At 47.4% G+C, this 15,148-nt stretch overlaps 1 protein-coding gene across 27 annotated transcripts in view; it reads left to right on the forward strand.

Moving 5' to 3' along the window:
- Positions 1-15,148, forward strand: part of ABCC1 (ATP binding cassette subfamily C member 1 (ABCC1 blood group)) — a 193,911-nt gene that overhangs the window by 96,986 nt on the left and 81,777 nt on the right. For all 27 annotated transcript variants that reach the window (XM_047434134.1, NM_004996.4, NM_001438755.1 and 24 more), the window contains 3 exons: positions 2,014-2,175; positions 6,596-6,688; positions 9,964-10,167. In XM_047434134.1, the coding sequence (XP_047290090.1) occupies positions 2,014-2,175; positions 6,596-6,688; positions 9,964-10,167 (459 nt within the window). The remainder of the gene's footprint in view (positions 1-2,013; positions 2,176-6,595; positions 6,689-9,963; positions 10,168-15,148) is intronic.

Consider the following 15,148-nt stretch of genomic DNA (forward strand, 5'->3'; position numbering starts at 1 on the left):
GAGGGTAGCTTCCGTGACCTTAGGTGGCAGGGACAGCACGCATCAGGCATTGTACGTTAGGAAAGCTGATTTCAAGGGTGGGCGTGTAGATGTCTTTGTGTATCAGCTGTGAGTAATTGAGTTTCTTAGATGGATCAGTGGCCCTTGTTGTGGGGAAATCCAAGTTTGGATCCTCATTCTGCTGTTAACATTCTGTGTTTCAGCTTGTTGTCACTCTTTTTTTTTCGTTTTTTTGAGACCAGGTCTCACTCTCTCCCCCAGACTGGAGTGCAGTGGCATGATATTGGCTCACTGCAACTTCTGCCTCCTGAGTTCAAGCGATTCTTCTGCCTCAGCCTCCTGAGTAGCGGGGACTACAGGCGCCTGCCACCACGACCGGCTAATTTTTGTATTTTTAGTAGAGACAGGGTTTCGCCATGTTGGCCAGGCTGATCTTGAACTGCTGACCTCAGGTGATCCGCCTGCCTCAGCCTCCCAAAGTGCTGGGATTACAGGCATGAGCCACCGCGCCCAGCCTGTTGTCACTCTTAATTTGAACTGAGCAGGTGGCACATTCCTTGCATGGTAAGAGTATGTAGCAGGCATTTGTGTACATCCAATTTCAAAGGACCTAAATTACCTTCTTGATCCCTATAAATTTTTTTTTTTTTTTGTCTCGAGGTCAAGGAAACTGCTTGGCTCCTAGGTTAGGAAGAGACAGTCTTGCAGGTACTTGATGAACTAGAGGAGTGATTCTCAGGCCTGTCTGTGAATTAGACTCACCTGGGGAGCTTAAACTGATGCAGGCCAGGCACTGTAGCTCATGCCTGTAATCCCAGCAGCTTGGGAGACCAAGGTGGGGGAATCACTGGAGGCTTGGAAGTTCAATACCAGCCTGGTCAATATAGCAAGACCCTGGCTCTGCAGAAAATTTAAAAAAATTAGCCAGGTATGGTGGTGCGTACCTGTAGTCCCGTCTACTCAGGAGATTGAGTTAAAAGAATCACTTCAGCCCCGGAGTTGGAGGCTGCAGTGAGTCCTGATAGCATCCCTGCATTCCGGCCTGTGTGACAGAATGAGACCCTGTCTGAAAAAACAAAAAAACTTCCTGACACCTAGGTTGCACCAGACCAGTGAAATTGCGATTGCTGTGGTGGCACCCAGGTGTCATTGTTTTTGTTTTTTATTTATTTTTATGTTTTGAGACAGGGTCTCGCTCTGTCACCCAGGCTAGAGTGCAGTGGCATGATCTTGGCTCACTGCAGCCTCCACCTCCTGGGCTCAAACGATCCTGCCACCTCAGCCCACCACGTAGCTGGGCCCAGAGGCATGCATCACCACGCCTGCTAATGTCTTAGTGTTTTTAAAACTCACGAGGTGATAGTGTGCAATCATGTTTGAGGGCTAGGGACATTTTCCCCCACCAGGGCACGTTTGGCAATATCTGGGGGCATTTTCGGTTGTCCCAACTGGGGGCGAGGGCATGTAGTGGGTCGAGGCCAGGTATTGCTGCTAAAACTCCTACAGTGCGCAGGACAGCCCCCCAAAGAATTATCTGGCTCCAGATGTCAAGAATGCCAAGGATTAGAGACCCTGGCCCACACCCTCAGTCCTTCAGTGGGATCTGGGACCAGTAGCACTGACACAGCCTGGAAGCGTAGAAATGCAGAATCCCAGGCCACACCCCAGACTTGCAGAATCCAAAACAACTCCCCCCACCCCCCACCACTCCCCCCAGAAAAACCCGGCCGCATGTGTGCACATTAAAGCATGCGAAGCCCTGGTTTCGAGGACACCTAGGGTCCCTTGCCAACTGATGAGTTCAAGGTTGGGAGGCACTGAGCACCGCGGATAAGAATGTGGGCTTTGAGATGACACAGGCGTCCTGGGCAGACAGATAGGTCGGGAGGGGAGGAGGAGAGATCTGCGGCATTTCTGCCCCTGAGAGTCTCCTTCCTCTCCGTGGGTCTGGAGGGAGAGTCAGGCCTCTTCAGCTGCCACACTCACCCACCTTCCCTCTCCTTTGTCCCACAGGCCCTGGTGATCACCAATTCAGCCAGAAAATCCTCCACGGTCGGGGAGATTGTCAACCTCATGTCTGTGGACGCTCAGAGGTTCATGGACTTGGCCACGTACATTAACATGATCTGGTCAGCCCCCCTGCAAGTCATCCTTGCTCTCTACCTCCTGTGGCTGGTGTGTGTTTAACGCCGTTTCCCTTTGCATGCAGGGAGGGACTTCTACGTGTGGGCAGTGGGCCGAGGGAGTGGGTGTTGATGGTAATGGCATGTAGAGCTCCCTGGCAGTTCCGGCTGTGGTTCATATTTTATTTTCCAGCCTGTTAACCAATTCCTCAGTATTTTGTTCCTTTCCTGAATTGTCAGGTTGATGTTCTCCTTGGTGGCATGGCGTTTTCATTTTCTCTTTTCCTTGACAGTGTCAGTAATTAACTACCCTACAATGGACGACACATCATATTTCTCCCCTTGAATCCTCCCAAACGCTAACCAGACTCACTTATTCATTAGTCCCTAATTATGGTGGTCAAAATTCTCTCAATTGCAAGGGATATAAATCTGTCTTAAAGTAGCCTAAGTGGCCGGTTGCAGAGGCTCACGCCTGTAATCCCAGCACTTTGGGAGGCCGAGGCGGGCAGATCACCTGAGATCAGGAGTTCGAGACCAGCCTCAACGTGGAGAAACCCCGTCTCTACTAAAAATACAAAATGAGCTGGGCGTGGTGGTGTATGCCTGTAATGCCAGCTACCTGGGAGGCTGAGACAGGAGAATTGCTTGAACCTGGAAGGCGGAGGTTGCGGTGAGCCGAGATTGGGCCATTGCACTCCAGCCTGGGCAACAAGAGTGAAACTCCAATTCCAAAAAAAAAAAAAAGTAGCCTAAGTAAATAGAGGGAACTTTGGGGCTGCATGTATCTCAGAAATCTGGGGACTAGCTTCAGGTGTGGATTGATCCAGGAGATCAAGCAATGTTGTCAGTACTCAGTTTCACCCACTGCCCTGTTGTCCTCTGAGTTAACATCATTCTCAGTGGTACTTCCCTACATGGCTCCGTAGCTTTGGGCTGATAACATCCTGATAGATAAAGGTGCCAGAGAAAAGACAAGGCAGCATTTCTCTGCACAGCCAGAGTCAGTCTCAGAGAGCACTCTGATTAGCCTGGCTTGGTCCTATTCACACCCGTGAACCAATCACTGTGGCCCAGGAGGCAGAGTTCTCTCATTGGCCAGCCTGGGTCACATGTCCTCTCCCATGGCAGAAGAGATGTGATTGACAGCCCTTCCATGTGGAGAGGGAGAGTTCCCAAAATAAAATGATAAGCAAAGAGGCTCATAGCACAACACATGCCTTGTGCTTTGCTACCTCTGGATCTTTGCCACGTACCTTTCCTTCCTTCTTCCTAATTGATGAAAGCCTGCTCATCCCCCAAGGCTGTAACAAACACTACTTCCATTGATTTACCCTCCCTTCTCAATTAGATGGACTTCTTCTTTTGAATTTTGAGTCCCAATAACTTTAGTATAGGAACTCATCTAATAATACTTTCTGAAATAGTTTTTTTTGTTTTGTTTTTGTTTTGACATGGAGTCGCGCTCTGTTGCCCAGGCTGGAGTGTGGTGTGCCATCTTGGCTCGCTGCAACCTCTGCCTCCCAGCTTCAAGCAATTCTCCTACCTCAGTCTCCCGAGTAGCTGGGACTACAGGCTTACACCACCACGCCCATTAAATTTTCTTTTTTTTTTGTATTTTTAGTAGAGACAGTGTTTGATCATGTTGGCTAGGCTGATCTTGAACTCCTGGCCTCAGGTGATCTACCCTCTGTGGTCTCCCAAAGTGTTGGAATTACAGGCGTGAGCCACCGTGCCCAGCCCACTCCCTGAAATAGTTTTGTTTTGTTTTTTTTGCATGCTCAGTGTACTGCCTCCTCTTTGAAGGGTAACATGTTAGCTACTTGCAGACATATAGCAGCTGACTTTTGTGTCTTCTGTGGGTACAACCCCAGCAGGGCCTGATGCATAATGGGCACAGCTCAAATTATTATCTGTTATTGAAAGAGAAGGGCTGGACGAAATGGCTCATGCTTGTGATCTGAACACTTTGGGAGGCCAAGGCGGGTGGATCATCTGAGGCCAGGAGAGCAGCCTGGCCAACATGGCAAAACCCCGTCTCTACTAAAAATATAAACATTAGTCAGGCATGGTGGTGTATGCCTATAATCTCAACTACTTGGGTGGCTGAGGCAGGAGAATGGCCTGAATCCGGGAGGCGGAGGTTGTATTGAGCTGAGTTTGTACCACTGCATACCAGCTTGGGCAACAGAGCGAGACTCTGTCTCAAAAAAAAGAAAAAGGAAGAAGAAAAAATTACTGGTTTATTTGGCTGTAGTTTGGTTTTTTTTTGTACATTTGTAGAGCAGAAGGTGAGTAAAGTGTTTCTAATAATAAAACTCAGAAAAAACACCAGAATTTAATTGTCTAATAGGCTGGGTACAGATATAGGTGGCATGCGCCTGTAATCCCTGCACTTTGGGAGGCTGAGGTGGAAGGATTGCTTGAAGCCAGGAGTTTGAGACCAGCCTGGGCAACATAGTGAGACCCTGTCTCTACAAAAAAAAAAAAAAAAAAAAAAAATTAGCTGGGCATGGTGGTGCCTACCTGTGGTCCCAGCTACCGTGGAGGCTGAGGCAGGAGGATTGCTTGAGCCTAGGAGTGCAGAGGCTGCAGTAAGCTAGGATCACACCACTGCACTCCTACCTGGGTGACAAGGCAAGACCCTGTCTCTAGAAGAAAAAAAAAATCTAAATAAAGTGTCTTTTCAAGCAGGTGTCTTGGGGAGTCCACTTTTGTAAAAGTGCTACTATGGGAAAAATATTTTTGGAACATTTGTTCTAGAACTGCCTTCAGGATTGGTTTATGAACCGTTAAGAAAATTGTCTAACATCACGTTTTGTTTTAGATGGTAGTTGCTTGAGCTCAGCACTGTTGACACTTGGGGCCAGACAGTTCTTTGTTGTGGGGGCTGTCTTTTTTTTTTGTTCTTGTTATTGTTTTTTTTGTTTTTTTAAGGGACAGAGTCTTGCTCTGTTGCCCAGGCTGGAGTGCAGTGGTGCGATCATAGCTCACTGCAGCCTTGAATTCTTGGCCTCAAGCAGTCTTCCCACTTTGTCATCTCATCTAGCTGGGGACTACAGGTGCACGCCACCATGCCTGGCTAAGTTATTTATTTTTTTGTAGAAATGGGGGTCTTGCTGTGTTGCCCAGGCTGGTCTCGAACTTCTACCCTCAAGCTATCTTACCACTTTGGCCTCCCAAAGTGATGGGATTACAGGTGTCAGTCACTGCACCTGGCCACAAGGCTATAAGTTAATACAGCAAAATTAGCAAGGAATTAAGGCACACATGGGGCGGTGTTCAAGAGAAGCCAGGTGCAGGCTTCCAGGAGTCCCCAGCAGAGTCACAGGTTCACTAATTCTCTGGCAACCATGATGATTATGTGTGTGAAATGTTGCCAACCAGGGAAGCTTGGTAGGAGCTCAGTTCCTGGGTTTGTATTAGGGGCAGGTCACATAAGCAGCCTTTGCTTGGCACATACCAAAAGTCTAGACTCCCAGAGGGAAAGCGGTGTTCAGCATAAACCATATTGTTTGTACAAACAGTTGAGGCACACTGAGCTACTCTACCCAATTCTGTTAATGGTGGAAACCCTGTAAGTATGCAGACACTAGCCAAGGGCTAAACTTGTAAGCAGCCTTCAAGCAGGAAAAGCAATCAGGTGGTCGTGTTCACACTTTTCTGCTTACTACCTTATTACCTTTCTAAAAATCTAAGCTGGGTGTGATGGCTCGCGCCTGTAATCCCAGCTACTTGGGAGGCAGAGGTGGGAAAGTCGCTTGAGCCCATGAGTTTGAGACCAGCTTAGGCAACATAGTGAGACCTTGTCTCTACAAAAAATCAAAAAAATAGCTGGGCATGGTGGTGTGAGTGTAGTCACAGCTACTTGGGAGGCTGAGTTGGGAGGATCACTTGAGCCCAGGAGATCGAGAGCAGTTTGAGTAACATAGTGAGACCTTGTCCTTACAAAAAACCAAAAAAATTAGCTGGGCATGGTGATGTGACTAGTCACAGCTACTTGGGAGGCTGAATTGGGAGGATCGCTGGAGCCCAGGAGTTGGAGACCAGCCTGGGCAATGTAGCAAGACCTAATGCTTACCTGTAGTCCCAGCTACTTTGGAGGCTGAAGTAGGAGGATCACTGATGCAAATAGCCACTGTACTGCAGCCTGGGCAACATAGCGAGACCTCATCTCCTAAAAAAAAAAAAATTAGAATCCTGCAGTTGTAATTTGCAAAACTCATGTGGCCCCAAGGGCTTGGGAGAAAGGAGCGTGGACCTGCTTATTCTTCAAGGGATTGGGAGGACCTGGAGAGATGCTCAGGAATGAAACCACAGGCTCTTAACACCCTATTGTGGGGTAAAAGTAACACACCTTGCCCTGAACTTGGTCAGCAGCATCCACGTGGGATGGATCAACCGGGGAAGCTGTTACGGGCCCTGTTTTCTTCTGTCTGGTGAGTGATGAAGAGTCTCCTTTCCTTCCTTAGAATCTGGGCCCTTCCGTCCTGGCTGGAGTGGCGGTGATGGTCCTCATGGTGCCCGTCAATGCTGTGATGGCGATGAAGACCAAGACGTATCAGGTAAGGCATGTGTCTCTGCGGGCCCCCAAGCCGGGCCCTAGGCAGAGGCCTCTCCATGAGGATTTTAGTCCAGTTCCTTCTGCTCTGTCCCTGGGGTTCTCAGCCTTGCCTGCCAGTTGGACTCACTTGGGGAGCCTTAACAAATGCTGATGCCCCGGCTGCATATCTGGGATTCTGATTCACTTATTGTGGGTGGGGTCTGGACATCAAGATGTTTTAAAGCTTCCCAGGTCATTATATTGGGCAGCCAAGATTGAGAGCTCCTGACACATGGTTAGACCTTGTAGGCCGGTGACTGGAATCAGAAGGTCTGTGAGCCTCTGAGAAAGTCCTTGTTTCCCACGGTCTTGTTTATTATGTGTATGTGTGACTCAGCTTTCAAGAGTTGAGTACAAATTACCCCCTACTTTTTTCCCCCTTATTAGCTCTTACCTTATAGGATACATGCTGTTAATCTCTTTATTTAAATTAAAATAATTAATTTCTAAAATGGGGCCTTGCTGTGTTGCCCAGGCTGGTCTCAAACTCCTGGGCTTAAGTGATCCTGTTGCCTCAGCCTCTCAAAGTGTTGGGATTACAGGTGTGAGCCATCATGCCCGGCTTTCAGCTTTTTATTTTTGGAGATATTTTGTATTTTAAAAAGTTTGAATACCCAAGTAATAGAGTGATGTTTCTTATTATAAAAAAGTCCAAATCAAGCCGGGCTCACCCCTGTAATTTCAGCATTTTGGGAGGCCAAGGTGGGTGGATCGCCTGAGCTTAGGAGTTCAAGACCAGCCTGGGAAACATGGTGAAACCTGTCTCTACCAAAAATGGAAAAGTTAGCTGCATGTGGTGATGCGTGCCTGTAGTCCCAGCTACTTGGGAGGCTGAAGCATGAGGATCACCTGAACCCAGGAGGTCGAAGCTGTAGTGAGCCATGATTGTGCCACTGCACAACAGAGTGAGACCCTGTCTCAAAAAAAAAAAAAAAAAAAAAAAAAAAAAAAAAAAAAAAAGTTTAAATCGTACAAAAGTACATAAATTAAAAGGGGATACCCCCTTCCCTACTCTCTCAACCACTGCAAATATATAGAAGCAAATCCTTCTACAACTTTCTACGTATGTATATACAGACCTGATTAATGGTATAGTTTGGTTTGTTTTTATATATGTGGGTTTTTTTTTTTGTTTGTGGAGATGGAGTCTCACTTTGTTGCCCAGGCTAGAGTGCAGTCGTACGATCTTGGCTCACTGCAACCTCTGCCTCCCGGGTTCAAGTAGTTCTCCTGCCTCAGCCTCCCGAGCAGCTGGGATTACAGGTGCCCACCACCACACCCAGCTAATCTTTGTATTTTTAGTAGAGATGAGGCTTTACCACATTGGCCAGGCTGGTCTTGAACTCCTGACCTCAGATGATCCACCCGCCTCGGCCTCCCAAATTGCTGGGATTACAGGCATGAGCCACCATGCCTGGCCATTATATATGTTTTGTGTGTGTGATATTATTACCATATCTGTTTTTACCTAAATGGGCCCACGTGGCAGCATGATTTTTGTCCTTTAGCGCCCTGCTTTGGGGACCTCTCTGTGCTGTGCCGTATAGCTTCAATTCATTCTTCCAACCCGGTGCCTTTTGGTCTATAATGGAGATGGTGCAGTTTATTTCTTTGCTCTTCTGTTGATGGATATTTATGGTGTGCTGTGGAATTTCAAATGGGAGCACTAGGCTGCACTGACGATACCACAGGGAGATGAGTTTCAGGACATGGGCCTGTTGGAAGGAGAGGCCTCACGTGGTAGGGTTGGGTGGGATGGGTGAGGCAGGGGCTTTAGGATTGAGTCACCCTTCAGTCTCTTGATGTGTAGGATGCCCTGAGTGGCCCGACTCAACCCATTTCAGTCCCTGGCCTCCAGATCATGTAGCTTATATTCTTCCCATCTGTGACCCGGGGATGACTGTAGCACTAAATGATAAGAGTTCTTGTGATTGTTAAGTGTCTGAATACATGTAAAATGCTTAGAAAAGTTGCTGGGATACACAAAATCCTGGGTGGTAGTAAAAGTATTTAACAACTGCACTGCACAAGTATCCACTATTTGGAACCAGTGCTAGCCAGTACAGAAACATTTCACTATTTTAACAACCATGGGCCAGGCACAGGGGCTCATGTCTGTAATCCCAGCTCTTTGGGAGCCTGAGGCAGGAGGTTGGCTTGTGGCCAGGAGTGCAAGACCAGCCTGAGCAACATAGCAAGGTGCCATCTCTACAAGAAATACAAAAATGAACTGGGTGTGGTGGCATATGCCTGTGGTCCCAGATACTAAGGAGGCTGAGGTGGGAGGATCGCTTGAGCCCAGGAATTCAAGGCTGCAGTGAGCTATGATCATGCCACTGCACTCCAGCCTGGATGCCAGAGTGAGATGATGTTTCCAAAAAAAAAGAAAACTGGGCTGACAAGAAATAAGAAAACAGGCTGGGTGCGGTGGCTCACACCTGTAATCCCAGCACTCTGGTAGGCCGAGGTTGGATCACTTGAAGTCAGGAGTTCGAAACCAGCCTGGCCAACATGGTGAAGCCCCGTCTCTACTAAAAATAGAAAAATTAGCCAGGCGTGGTGGCAGGCGTTTATAGTCCCAGCTACTCAGGAGGCTGAGGTAGGAGAATCTCTTTAACCCGGGAGGCAGAGGTTGCAGTGAGCCAAGATCGTGCTACTGCACTCCAGCCTGGGCAAGAGAGCGAGACTCCGTCACAAAAAAAAAAAGAAAAAATACGAAAACAGAGAAGAAAAACACCACCACCATGTCTCCTGTGTTTGGGTCAGCAGAGTAGGGACTGAATCCCTTCTTTTCTGTACACCTGAAGGGTTTTTCTTGCCTCTGTTCCTGGATTCTAAATTGAGTATGTTTCTCCAATGTCTAACCTAACGTGATTTGAAGGGGTTTTTTTTTTCTTGATAGCGGGGTCCTTTGGTGTGGTCTTGGGGCTCAAGAGTAGGGCTAGTAGGGATTACAGGGTCAGCTCTCCCACCCTCAGGAGGCCCATTTTTAATAGACGGTGAAGTTGAGGCCCAGTGCGGTGGCTCACACCTGTAATCCCAGCACAGGAGTTTGAGACCAGCCTGGGCAGCATGGTGAAACCCCATCTCTATTGAAAAGAAAAAAAAAAATCAATATAAAAAACATTTACATGTCAAAGTATATAATAAAGTTTATGAGAAAAATAGCTGGTGATGTTGAGTGATGGGCTGATCCCAGGGTCGCCCCAGATGTGTTGACTGCCCGTCTCTTCCAAGGTGGCCCACATGAAGAGCAAAGACAATCGGATCAAGCTGATGAACGAAATTCTCAATGGGATCAAAGTGCTAAAGCTTTATGCCTGGGAGCTGGCATTCAAGGACAAGGTGCTGGCCATCAGGCAGGAGGAGCTGAAGGTGCTGAAGAAGTCTGCCTACCTGTCAGCCGTGGGCACCTTCACCTGGGTCTGCACGCCCTTTCTGGTGAGTGAAGCCACATTTTTCCTGGCCCTCATTGTTTGATGTTTTATTTTCTCTGCGTACCTGAATATTTTTAAAAGGTCACTATGTTGCCCAGGTGCAGTGGCTCATGCTTGGTAATCCCAGCACTCTGGGAGGCCAAAGCAGGTGGATCACCTGAGGTCAGGAGTTCAAGACCAGCCTGGCCAACATGGTGAAACCCAGTCTCTACTAAAAATACAAAAAAATAAGCCGGGTGTGGTGGCGCATGCCTGTAGTCCCAGCTACTAGGGAGGCTGAGGCAAGAGAATTACTTCAACCTGGGAGGCGACGGTTGGAGTGGGCCAAGATCACGCCAGTGCACTCCAGCCTGGGCGACAGAGCAAGACCTTGTCTCAAAAACAAACAAAAAAGTCACTATGTCAGCAAGGCCTTCCCTGAACACTTGGTTTAAACATTTGCCATCTTCTCCATTCTCCTTTGTTTTATTCACACTTAGCAGCTTCTAGCCAACCTGTGTAGGAACCGTTCGTTATCTATTTACTGTGATATAAGGAGCTTGTGCCAGAATGTAAACCAGTGCCCCCTGCTTCCTGCATTAAGATAGCCTTGCAAGACAAAAAGTGCGAGCTGAGTCGAACGGCACGCTTGGTGCCATAGTTGATCTACATTGTGGTGCTGCGTCCTTATTTTGTCACCAACTGGTCACAAAGTGTGGATTGTCAGTGTCTCATAGGCCACATGTCAAGTGGCATGGTCTAAACACACTCTAAAATTTACTTATTTTGGGCTGGGTGCGGTGGCTTGTGCCTGTAATCCCAGCCCTTTGGGAGTCCAAGGTGGGTAGATCACTTGAGGCCAGGAGCTCGAGACCAGCCTGGCCAACCTGGTGAAACCCTGTTACTGCTTAAAAAAAAAAAAAAAAAAGAAAGAAAAAAAAAGCTGGGCATGGTGGTGCATGCCTATATTCCCAGCTACTCAGGAGGCCGAGACATGAGAATCCCTTGAACCTGGGAGGCTGAGGTTGCAGTGAGCCGAGATCGAGCCACGGCACTCCAGCCTGGGCAACACAGCAAGACCCTGTCTCAAAAAAGTAAAAAAAAAAAAAAATAAGTAAAATAAAATGTACTTATTTTATTGTCTGCTTTTCCCCCACTAGGATGTCAGCTCCAGATGGGCATTTTTGTCGTTTCTCTTGACTGCTGTATCCTCAGTATATAAAACAGTGCATAGCAGGTGCTGAACAAATATTGTCATCCATTGTAAAAAAAAAAAAATACAGAAAGATATAAAATGAAAAGTATATTGTCCTCTCTTCCATCAGTTCCTCCCTTCTAAAGTGACAGTTTCGTGTACGCTTTTAGAGAAAAATGGACAAGCATATAGGTATTTAAAAATACTTTGACAGATATAAATGGAATCATACTGTACATAGTGTTCTCTTTTCTTTGGTTAACAATATATAGTCTTGGTTCGTTCATTCTGGTCTACTTCATTTTAGTTTTTTGGGGGGTTTTGTTTTGAAATGGGGTCTCGCTCTGTCCCCCAGGCTGGAGTACTGTGGTGCGATCATAGCTCACTGCAGCCTTGAACTCCTGGGCCCAAGCAATCCTCCTGCTTTAGTTTCCTAAGTAGCTGGGACTCCAGGTGCACTGCTACCACTCCCAGCTTGTTTCATTTGTGTTCATGATGGATGCTTGTCTGACGTGCAGATGCGCCCTGCTGGAATTACCCTTTCTCCCATTCCTTGCAAAAACAGGTTGTTCCCTGTTTTTTTTGCTGTTATGATCCATGCTACACTGAAAGTTCTGGTACCTGTCCTGGGGTATGGTAATGGGTCTATCCCTGCCTAGCTGGCTTTGAAAAGTTTAAAGACAACAGTGCAACTTACAATTTGCAAAGTTGGCCGCAAATCAGGAGACCATACAGAGATGGACTTTGGAAATTCCCTTTTTAAGCACAGTTAAAAACAGTTAATGGTGAAGGATGACTTCAGATCATGCCCCATGTTTGTTTTTTCTTTCTGTCTTTTTATTAACTGTGTCATTCTTTTTGTAATGTTGTGCTCATTACAACTATTCCTTCTTGGTCAGGTTGGCAAATTATATGTTTTTCTGGCAAGTTTCTGTGAAGCAGAGTTAAACATGTTTATGAATATGAACTTTTCTGTTAAACTACCATCTGCTTCATCTTTGTTGAGTTTCAGGTGGAATGTCTAAGGAAGCTCCAGCTGTTTCAGCATTTGCGAAAGCGTGTTCATGCTCCCACTGAATTTTCTTAGTCTTGCCTTACTTCTCTCAGGGTCTGGAACTGCAGGAGAGATGGTGTTCAAATTCAAGCCTGCATCAGAATCACCTGGAGAGCTTGTTATTATATTTTATTATTTATTCATTTATTGAGATGAAGTCCCAGTCTGTCACCCAGGTTGGATTGCTATGGCACTATCTTGGCTCACTGCAATCTCTGCCTCCCGGGTTCAAGCGATTCTTCCACCTCAGCCTCTGAGTAGCTGGGATTACAGGCATGCAGCAACCATGCTCAGCTAATTTTTAAAATATCTTTAGTGTAGAGATGGTGTTTCACCATGTTGGCCAGGCTGGTCTCGAACTCCTGACCTCAGGAGATCTACCCGCCTTGGCCTCCGAAAGTGCTGGGATTACAGGCATGAGCCACAGTGCTGGCTGTTAGCTTGTTACTATAAAACTCAGCTTTCTGGGCCCCACCCAAATTTTCAGTTTTAGTAGGTCTGGTTGGGGCCTGAGTATTTGCTTTCCTAACATATCCCTAGGTGCTGCTGCTTCTGGTTCAGGTTGACATGTAGAGACACCGGAGTGGATCCTCACTGCCTAAAGTCTGGTCCGTGGACCAGCAGCCATGGCATCACCTGGTGCTTGTTAACGGTGCAGAATTTCAGGCCTCAGCCCAGATCCACTGAAACGGAATCTGAGTTGTAACTAGTTCTCTAGGTGGTGTGTATGCACATTAAATTTCGAGAGAGACTGGCAGAAAGTAGGAGTAAAGAAACTTTTTCTGTAAATACTTTCGGAATTCCGGGCCATACAGTCTCTGTCACAAATACCAGTCTCTTCCAGCGTAGTGCAAAAACAGCCTTAGATAATATGGAAATCGATGGGTGTGGCTGTGTTCCTGTAAAAAAGTATTTAGAGACACCAAAATTTGAATTTTATAGAATTTGCATGTGTCATGTAATATTGTTTTGATTTTTTTAACTTTTAAAAAATATGAAATCTGGCTGGGCGCAGGGGCTCATGCCTGTAATCTCAGCACTTTGGGAGGCCGAGGCGGGCGGGTTGCTTGAGGCTAGCAGATTGAGACCAGCCTAGCCAACGTGGTGAAACCCCGTCTATACTAAAAATACAAAAATTAGCTGGAAGTGGTGGTGCGCACCTGTGGTCATAGCTACTCGGGAGGCTGAGGCAGGAGGATCGCTTCAACCCAGGAGGCAGAAGTTGCAGTGAGCCAAGATCATGCCACACACTCCTGGCTGGGCAACAGAGTGAGACCCTTTCCTGCTGCTGCCCCCCCACCCCCTCCCAGCCCCCCACAAAAAAAAATTAGCCAGGTGTGGTGGAGCATGCTGGTCATCCAAGCTTTTTGGGAGGCTGAGGTACGGGAATCGTTTGAACCCGGGAGGCGGAGATCGCAGCGAGCTGAGGTCACGCCACTGCACTCTAAGCCTGGGCAACAGAACAAGACTCTGTCTCAAAAAAAATAAAAAAAATGAAATCAATGCTGAGCTCATGGGCCGTATGTAAACAGGTGTGGGCCAAATGTGGACCTGAGCCATCCTTGTTGGCCAGCCCCTGGCTTAGAGGACTGGAATGTTCTTCTGAGAATCAGGACACCTGCCACATTCTACTGCCAGCTCACAGTGTGACCCCAAAGCTGGTCATCTCACCTCGCTGGCTCTAGATTTTGTCACATGGAAAATGAAGGGGTTAGATTCCAAGCATGTCAAATACTGGGCCCTGTCCTCCTTCCTCATGCCCACAGCAGACACCCACAGTCACTCATGGGGTTCTTTCCCACTGAGTTATGTTCAAGCAGCCCTCCAGGTGACTGGTGCCAGTGGCCTAGAGTTGAGCAAGAAATGACATCTTGTTGCCCTTCTGTAACTCCATGTTCCCTAAGATCACTTCCAGCTCCAATGCCCCTGCATTCTGCCTTGTACATTGCATTCTTCTTACACTCCAATACCTTGACTTTACCGGGGTGCGTTGATGAACTCTCTCTTTTTTTGTTTTTTTTGGGACTGAGTCTCACTCTGTCACCCAGGCTGAAGTGCAGTGGTGCCATCTCAGCTCACTGCAACCTCCATCTCCCAGTTCAAGCAATTCTCCTGCCTCAGTCCCCCGACTAGCTGGGATTACAAACATGCACTACCATGCCTTGTTAATTTTAATATTTTTAGTAGAGATGGGTTTTTGTCATGTTCGCCAGGCTGGTCTCGAACTCCTGACCTCAAGTGATCTACCTGCCTTGATCTCCCAACGTGCTGGGATTACAAGCGTGAGCCACCGCGCCTGGACTCTCCTTTTTTTTTGAGAAGGAGTCTTGCTCTCTCGCCAGGCTGGAGTGCATTGGCACGATCTCAGCTCACTGCAATCTCTGCCTCTTGGGTTCAAGCGATTCTCCTGCCTCAGCCTCCTGAGTAGCTGGGATTACAGGCGCCTACTACCATGCCCAGCTAAGTTTTGTATTTTTAGTAGAGACGGGGTTTCACCAGGGTTCAAGCAATTCTCCTGCCTCAGCGTCCGAGTAGCTGGGAGTACAGGCGCACGCCACCATGCCAAGCCAATTTTTTGTATTTTTAGTAGAGATGGGGTTTAGCCGTGTTGGCCAGGCTGGTCTCAAACTCCTGGCCTCTAGTGGTCCACCCACCTCGGCCTCCTAAAGTGCTGGGATTACAGGTGTGAGCCGCCATGCCCGGTGGGTCTTACTTTATAAAGTAGGAAGTAATGTATTTGCATATGGTGAAACATAA

The sequence above is a fragment of the Homo sapiens genome, chromosome 16, assembly GCF_000001405.40.
Source record: "Homo sapiens chromosome 16, GRCh38.p14 Primary Assembly".
NCBI classification, from domain to species: Eukaryota; Metazoa; Chordata; class Mammalia; order Primates; family Hominidae; genus Homo; species Homo sapiens.